Raw genomic sequence first — 9134 nt, 5'->3', positions numbered from 1 at the left:
CATAGTGGAATGGTTATCATGTTTACTGCACACTTATGTTTCACTTTCAGTAACTGGGATTAAATGGACAGACACTAAACAATTTGTGTTGTGTCTGGGCATGGTGGCTCACGCCTGTAACCCCAGCACTTTGGGAGGTTGAGGCCAGCCTGGGCAACATAGTGAGACCCTATCTCTACAAAAATTACAAAAATTAGCCGGACATGGTGGCATGTGCCTGTAGTCCCATCTACTCAGGAAGCTGAGGTGGACCAATCACTTGAGCCCAGCAGGTAAAGGCTGCAGAGAGCTGTGAGACGTGACCACGCCGCTGCCCTCCAGTCTGGGTGACAGAGTGAGACCCCATTAAAAAAAATTTACGTTGCTTCAAGCTTTGCTTTTGGGATAGTTTTGGGATGTTTTGGGATAGTTTCCCAAATCTTTCAAAATATTGGATTCATTAAGTTTTTTGTTGTTCAGGAGGGTTTTTTTGTTTGTAGAAATGTTACCATTTTCTATAACTATGGTATAATATCACAATCAGCCTGTTGATACAATCAGCAATTTCATCCAGATTTCCCAGTTTTACTTGTACTGGGCGGGGGGGGGGGGGTGGGGTGGGGGGGCGGTGGTGTATTTACACAATATTATCACTTGTGTAGTTTTGTCTATCCACCCTACAGTCAAAATGCAGAACGGTTTCATCACCACAAGGATTCCTTGTGTTGCCTTTCTGGAACAATACACACACCCCTCCCACCCCACAAACTGTATTTTTTTTTTTTTTTTTGAAACGGAGTCTCGCTCTGTTACCCAGGCTGGAGTGCAGTGGCGTGATCTTGGCTCACTGCAACTTCTGCCTCCCGGGTTCAAGCAATTCTGTTGTCTCAGCCTCCCGAGTAGCTGGGACTACAGGTTCGCACCACCATGCCAGGCTAATTCTTTGTATTTTTTAAGTAGAAATGGGTTTTCAGCATGTTGGCCAGGCTGGTCTCAAACTCCTGACCTCAAGCAATCCACCAGACTTGGCCTCCCAAAATGCTGGGATTACAGGCGTGAGCCACTGTGCCCAGCCCCTGTATTGTATTTTGACCTATCAGTTAGTTCTCCATGTAGGCTGGAAAGTCAGATGATAGCAATGAAAAGCATGGGCTCTGAAGCATCACTGCCTGGGTTTGGATCCAGGATCTACCACCATGCTAGGTAATTTATATAACTTATCTAATTTAATGCTCACAAAAGCCCTGTGAAATAGATATTCTTATCCCTATTTTCTTTTCTTTCTTTTTTTTTTTTTTTTAAGACAGAGTCTTGCTCTGTTACCCAAGCTGGAGTGAAGTGGCATGATCTCCGCTCACTGCAACCTCCACCTCTAAGATTCAAGCGATTCTCCTGCCTCAGCATCCTGAGTAGCTGGGATTACAGGTCTGCACCACCACACCCGTCTGATTTTTGTATTTGTAGTAGAGACAAGGTTACATCATGTTGGCCAGGCTGGTTTCAAATTCCTGGCCTCAAGGATCCACCTGCCTCGGCCTCCCAAAGTGCTGGGATTACAGGCGTGAGCCACCGCACCTGGCCTATCCCTATATTCATATGAGGAAACTGACCCTTAGAGAAATGAAATACAATGCAATATTTGCTCAGAGTAACACAAAAACAGACATTCCAACTAAGATACAAAACCAGGATTGTCTGACCCCAAAGCCCATGCTTTTCCCCAACAGCAAACATTAACTTTATAAGAATAAATAAATGCACCTTTGTGCATTTATTTATTTTGGTGCATTTATCTATTATTTCATAAAGGTGCACCAAAGATGCAACTTTGTACATGAAAATTATTTTTCTAGAGTAGAGTTGTAAATTATATCTGTTGGATAGAAAAGGGAATTCCAGGCCAGGCACAGTGGCTCATGCCTGTAGTCCCAGCACTTTAGGAGGTGGAGGTGGGTGGATCATTTGATCCCAGGAGTTCAAGACCAGCCTGGGTAACATGGTGAAATCCTGTCTCTATTTAAAAAAAAAAAACAAAAAAACAAAAAAAAAACTAGCCAGGCCTAGTACTGTGCGCCTGTAGTCCCAGCTACTCGGTAGGCCAAGGTGGGAGGATCACTTGAGCCCGGGAGATTGAGGCTACAGTGATCCACTGTGATCTTGCCACTGCACTCTGTCCTGTAACAGAGTGAGACCCTGTATTTAAAAAAATAAAAGAAAAGAGAATTCCAGAGTGTATAGTTTTATTACCCTACAGGACATTAAACAAGTTTTTTAAAAAAAATAATAGACCTTTCCTTTTTACAAGTTTTTGATTTGCTGATAAATTAGGCAGATTGTACAGACAGTTCCCATATATCCTCTCTTCCTCCACTCTTACCCCCACAGTTTCTCCTATTACTGTATTAACATCTTGCATTAGTGTGGTACATTTGTTATAATTGATGAACCAGTACCGACAAATTATCATTAACTAAATTCCACAGTTTACATTAGGGTTCATTATTTGTGTTGTACAGTTTTACAGGTCTTAACAAACACAAAATGTCATGCATCCACCATTACAATGCTATACAGAATATTTCACTATCCTAAAAATCTAATGTGCTTCACCTATTCATCCCTCCCCTGAACTCCTGGCAATCCCTGACCTTTTTATTGTCACTACAGTTTTGCCTTTTTCAGGATGTCATATAGTTAAATTAATAATATGTAGCCTTCGTGGATTGGCTTCTTTTACTTAGCAATATGCATTCAAGATTCCTTCATGTCTCTCTGTGGCTTGATAGCTCATTTCTTTTTAATGCTATATAATACTTCATTAAATGGCCAATATCACAGTTTGTTCACCTATTCAACTATTGAGGGATGTTTTTGTTGCTGCCAGCTTTTGGCACCTATAAATAAAGCCGCTATAAACTTTGGCATGCAGGTTTTTGTGTGAACATAAGTTCTGAACTCATTTGGGTAAATACCTAGGAGTATGACTGCTGGATTATATGGTAGGAGTATGTTTATCTCTATAAGAAACCATCGGCTGGGTGCAGTGGCTCACGCCTATAATCCCAGCACTTTGGGAGGCTGAGGCAGGTGGATCACCTGAGGTCAGGAGTTCGAGATCAGCCTGGCCAACATGGTGAAACCCCATCTCTACTAAAAATACACAAATTAGCTAGGCGTGGTGGCGCACACCTGTGGCCCCAGCTACTCAGGAGGCTGAGGCAGGAGAATCCCTTGAACTCAGGAGGTGGAGGTTGCACTGAACTGATATCGCACCACTACATTACATCCTGGGTGACAGAGCAAGACTCCATCTCAAAAAAAAAAAAAGAAAGAAAGAAACTGCCAAACTATCTTCTAAAATGACTGTACCATTTTGCATATCTACCAAGTTTTTTAAAAATCTAATTTAGGTGCAGTGGCTCCTAAATTAGGTGGCTCCTAAAGTGACTGTACCATTGTGCATATCTATCAAGTTTTTTAAAAATCTAATTTAGGCACAGGTGAGGTGGCTCACGCCCGTAATCCTAGCACTTTGGGATGCCAAGGTGGGCGAATTGCCTGAGCTCAGGAGTTCAAGACCAGCCTGGGCAACATGGTGAAACCCCATCTCTACTAAAATACAAAAAATTAGCCAGATGTGGTGGCAGGTACCTGTAGTCCCAGCTACTCGGGAAGCTGAGGCAGGATAATTGCTTGAGCCTGGGAAGCGGAGGTTGCAGTGAGCTAAGGTTACGCCACTGCACTCCAGCGTGGGTGACAGAGCGAAAAAAAAAAATCTAATGTAGTAATCTTATTTCTAGATTATTTCTTTCATAAATTGCAGATATTCAGTCTCTTGAATTCTCCTGTGAACCAGTTTCACCATCTTGATGGCTCCCCAATTAACAAGGTAAGTAAATATTTGACATGTGCTTACTTAAATATTTGTGTTAAGGGCCATGCTTTTTACTTTCTACAAATTATACTTTGAAAATGATAACCTACCATATTTCCCACATGAAAGACATAACCTAACACACACTACAGGAAGAAAATCTTTTGTCATTTTTCTAGCCATGGTAATGAACTTCACAGTCACACTGAGATTTCCTAAGGGTAGACTCACATGTAAACTGGCTCAATAACCCTTTTCAAAGCTATTATTTTACCAGTGCAAAAGAGTACCTGTAGGGGTGGGTTGCCCCTCCACACCTGTGGGTGTTTCTCGTAAGGTGGGACGAGAGATTTGGAAAAGAGAAAGACACAGAGACAAAGTATAGAGAAAGAAATAAGGGGACCCGGGGAACCAGCGTTCAGCATATGGAGGATCCCGCCAGCCTCTGAGTTCCCTTAGTATTTATTCATCATTTGTGGGTGTTTCTCAAAGAGGGGGATGTGTCAGGGTCACAAGACAATTGTGGGGAGAGGGTCAGCAGACAAACACGTGAACAAAGGTCTTTGCATCATAGACAATGTAAAGGATTAAGTGCTGTGCTTTTAGATATGCATACACATAAACATCTCAATGCTTTACAAAGCAGTATTGCTGCCCGCAGGTCCCACCTCCAGCCCTAAGGCGGTTTTTCCCTATCTCAGTAGATGGAGCATACAATCGGGTTTTATACCGAGACATTCCATTGCCCAGGGACAGGCAGGAGACAGATGCCTTCCTCTTGTCTCAACTGCAAGAGGCATTCCTTCCTCTTTTACTAATCCTCCTCAGCACAGACCCTTTACGGGTGTTGGGCTGGGGGACGGTCAGGTCTTTCCCTTCCCACGAGGCCATATTTCAGACTATCACATGGGGAGAAACCTTGGACAATACCTGGCTTTCCTAGGCAGAGGTCCCTGCGGTCTTCCGCAGTTTTTGTGTCCCTGGGTACTTGAGATTAGGGAGTGGTGATGACTCTTAAGGAGCATGCTGCCTTCAAGCATCTGTTTAACAAAGCACATCTTGCACTGCCCTTAATCCATTCAACTCTGAGTTGACACAGCACATGTTTCAGAGAGCACGGGGTTGGGGGTAAGGTCACAGAATCTCAAGGCAGAAGAATTTTTCTTAGTACAGAACAAAATGGAGTCTCCTATGTCTACTTCTTTCCACACAGACACGGTAACAATCTGATCTCTCTTGCTTTTCCCCACAAGTACCCGTTGAACATTCCAGGGAACTGATCCATAAATTTATTTCCAAAATGTTTTAACTTGGGAACCAATTACTGGATAAATGCTAAGTTACCCTGGTATAAATCTGATAAAAGTGAATTTTTCAAGCCACACGGTCTCCTTTGTTCAGTATATTTTTAATTTAGTGGTCTCTCTTAAGGGAGGAATTGAAATCAACCCTCTGCAACTGGGTCTTAGGCTTATCTCCAAGAAATAAAATCTCACAAGGTTTTGAGGCCTACAGTCTGAATTCTGACACTGCACAGAACTTATACAGACAGGGTAGAGACAGGAGACTTACAGGTCTGGTAGTGAGGGAGGCTAGGGTGCGTGGTTTGAATGTCAAGGGCGTTCTTGGGCTTGCTGCAAACCTCATTCTGATTCTTCCATTTTTTAACTGTTGAACTGAAGTCTATTTCTCTGCAGGGTTAAGTTATTCCAGACCAAGGAGAGAATGATTCGCTCTTGCCACCCTCCTCAGATGTGGAGCCACCGGGCAGATGGTTGGCACTGTGCACATGGCACTTGCATACACACACACACACATGCACACACGCACACACACTCACACACACCTCAACTAATGTAAAGGTCCCAACATAAACATTAGTTCTCACAAGTGCTCCAAGGATTTTAAAGGCTTTGGTGCTGCAAAAGATATTGAGTCAGCTTGTGACAGCTACAATCCTGCTCCTGTTTCAGGTTTAAGAAAAAAAGAAAGAAAGAAAAAAGGAAACCATACTCATTTCTTCCTTCCACAGCTCAGTGAAATTCCAAAAAATTAGTAAGAATCCCTTAGCTTGCCTCATTGGTAGAAATGTCTGGTTGGGACATTCCTTTGGCCACTTTCGCTGAAAACTGCATACCTCTGGGACTAAAGCATCCCCACTCCAGTCTCCTGTCTCAAAACTGACTGAGAATTGTCTACAAAGATAGGAGGACTCTGTGCAAAAACCCCCCGGAGAAAACAACACAAAACCACACCTGACCCTGCATAGAGCTTGTATTTCCAGAGAGAAAACACAGTCTCTGAGATAGTATTAGGTTGGTGCAAAAGTAATTGCGTTTTTTATAATTACTTTTAATGGCAAGTTAATATTTTTTAGCATCCCTCAGGGCCTCTTTTTATTTTCCCTGCTGAGCAGGTAACCACCTAAGGAGTGTTTGTCCCTGTTTCCATCATAGTCAAGGAAATGTGGGACATTCTTTTGCCTGTGAAATGGGAAAGTTGTCACTGCGATACAGTGTTAAGTTTCTCCGAGAGCCCATCTTTGCAAGTGAAGAGGCCTTCCTTATAGGAAATAGAAATGCTGACCAGGCCTTTTCTATCTAGGACACTTGTGCTCCTGGTCATTTTACTACAGCAGTTTGTGTTTAATTTGTTGTTTTATTTGGCAATAAGCAAGCAAGGAAAACAAGGGTATTAATAATGATAATCGTCATTTGAACTTCCTGGGTACAACATGTACTTGTACCCAAGTGCTGAATACAATTTTTAAAAAGGATTATTTGTATGTGTGCACAAATGAGACTAAAAATTGCCATGAACTTAAATCATTCATTCTCCTTTGTCCCAGAAAAACACATTTTTGTCTCCGTGGCATTTGAATCAACTTTTCTTTCCTTTCCTAATTTTAGCATTTGAAAAGATTTTATGTCATGAAACGACTTTATTTATGTATTCTGCAACCCTTGCCACAAAGCCTTAGGGTGTACCAATTAAAAACATGAGTTTTACCCAGCAAAGAACTGAAGCAATTTGATGATTTTTCATCGATGAAACAGTTTCCATTAGCAAGCTCCTTGCAAAATGATAGTTCTATTTGGCGACTCAAATGCCATAAATCTGGTTGTCTTTCTGGTTTTGCGGCGAATCCCGCCTGCCTGCCGTGGTCTCTGTTGTTGATTTAGGATTTTGGCTTGGCGACCCTTTGTTCTTCCCTCTCATCCCTCCTTTGTTAGAAAGGTGGAAAATCAGCAAGGGCTGTAAGCGCTGAGAAAACAGGGAGTCTCCTAGCAGGAGTCTCTTGAGTGTAGTTACCATTTATGGATTATGATCTAATAATTCAAATTCCAGGGCAACAGAAGACCATTGCAGAAGTTTTCTTGGCATATTAAAATCTGCCCGCAAGAGAGTTTACCAGAAAAGGAATCTCTGAGGTGAGGACCTGACGTCCACATCTTTGCGTTGGATGGCCAAAATTTCTGAGAAACACTAAGCTGTGAGGTCTTCTGAGAAATAAGCTGATGTCACAGGGTTGGACGGACCTGTTGCCACAAGATGCTAATGCTCTGGAAACCTGCCAAATGTATTGCCTGTTTAAAATGTACTCCATAGAACTACCATTTGATCCAGCAATCCCACTACTGGGTATCTACCCAGAGGAAAAGAAGTCATTATACGAAAAAGATACTTGCAGCTGGGAGTGGTGGCTCACACCTGTAATCCCAGAACTTTGGGAGGCTGAGGTGGGCAGATCACCTGAGGTCAGGAGTTTGAGACCAGCCTAGCCAATATGGTGAAACCCTGTCTCTACTAAAAATACAAAAATTAGCTGGGTGTGGTGGCGGGCATCTGTAATCCCAGCTACTCAGGAGGCTGAGGCAGGAGAATTGCTTGAACCCAGGAAGCAGAAGTTGCAGCGAGCCGAGATTGCACCATTGCACTCCAGCTCTGGGCAACAGAACAAGACTCCATCTCAGAAAAAAATAAAAAAAGAAAAAGAAAAAGATATTTGCACACACATATTTATAGCAGCACAATTTGCAATTGCAAAATTGTGGAATCAACCCAAATGCCCATCAATCAATGAGTGGATAAAGAAACTGTGAGATATGTGTGTATTTTTATATATATATCATATATATGTTATATATATGATATATATATTATATATATATCATATATATAACATATATATGATATATATTATATATATCTATATATATAATGGAATACTACTCAGCCATAAAAAAGAATTAATTAAGGGCATTTGCAGTGACCTGGATGAGACTGGAGACTATTATTCTAAGAGAAGTAACTCAGGAATGGAAAACCAAATATCGTATGCTCTCATTGATATGTAAGAGCTAAGCTATGAGGATGCAAAGGCATAAGAATGATACAATGGACTTTGGGGACTTAGGGGGAAGGGTGGGAAAGGGGCGAGGGATAAAAGACTACAAACTGGGTGCGGTGTATACTGCTCAGGTGATGAGTGCACCAAAATCTCACAAATCACCACTAAGGAACTTATGTAACCAAACAGCATCTGTACCCCATTAACCTATGGAAAAATTAAAGTAAAAAATACATAAATAAAATGGACTCCAGAGAGAAGTTGGTTAAGGGGTATAAAAATACAAGTGGATAGAAGGAATAAGTTCTAGGCCGGGCACAGTGGCTCATGCCTGTAATCCGAGGACTTTGGGAGGCCGAGGCGAGCGAATCACAAGGTCAGAAGTTCGAGACCAGCCTGGCCAGCATGGTGAAACCCCATCTCTACTAAAAACACAAAAAATTAGCTAGGCGTAGTGGTGGGCGCCTGTAATTCCAGTTACTCGGGAGGCTGAGGCAGGAGAATCACTTGAGCCCAGGAAGCAGAGGTTGCAGTGAGCCAAGATTGTGCCACTGCACTCCAGCCTGGGTGACAGAGCAGGGCTTCATCTCAAAAAAAAAAGTATTGTTTTATAATGTGTTATAAATTGACTTGCTTACTATAAACAATTTACATACAGAAGTGAATAAAGGAGAAACTAGCATTTCAAATAATCCCAATCCTACAGCTAACTATTGTGAAAAACTTGATATATATGTGTACATATATGACATATAGTATCTAATATATATCTATTACATTTTATCTATTATTTATTATATATACTGATTTGGCTTTTTTTTTTTAACCAAATGGCTTACACTCTACATTCTACTCTGTAATTTGCCTTTTTTCCCACATAACAAAACGGCCAGACATCTTTCAAAGTCCAGATACGTATATCTACTCTAT

At 41.7% G+C, this 9134-nt stretch overlaps 1 annotated feature.

Annotated features, from left to right (window-relative positions):
- Positions 679-1565: an enhancer, noted in NCBI's record as "H3K27ac hESC enhancer chr5:54870447-54871333 (GRCh37/hg19 assembly coordinates)". NCBI's record gives its function as "activates a minimal SCP1, AML or CMV promoter by ChIP-STARR-seq in naive H9 embryonic stem cells {active_cell/tissue: H9 hESC(naive)}" and the evidence as "EXISTENCE:reporter gene assay evidence [ECO:0000049][PMID:30033119]".

Source organism: Homo sapiens, chromosome 5, assembly GCF_000001405.40.
Source record: "Homo sapiens chromosome 5, GRCh38.p14 Primary Assembly".
Taxonomy (NCBI): Eukaryota; Metazoa; Chordata; class Mammalia; order Primates; family Hominidae; genus Homo; species Homo sapiens.
Note: the sequence above shows the minus strand (reverse complement) of the source record. Positions and strands in the feature narration are given on the sequence as shown.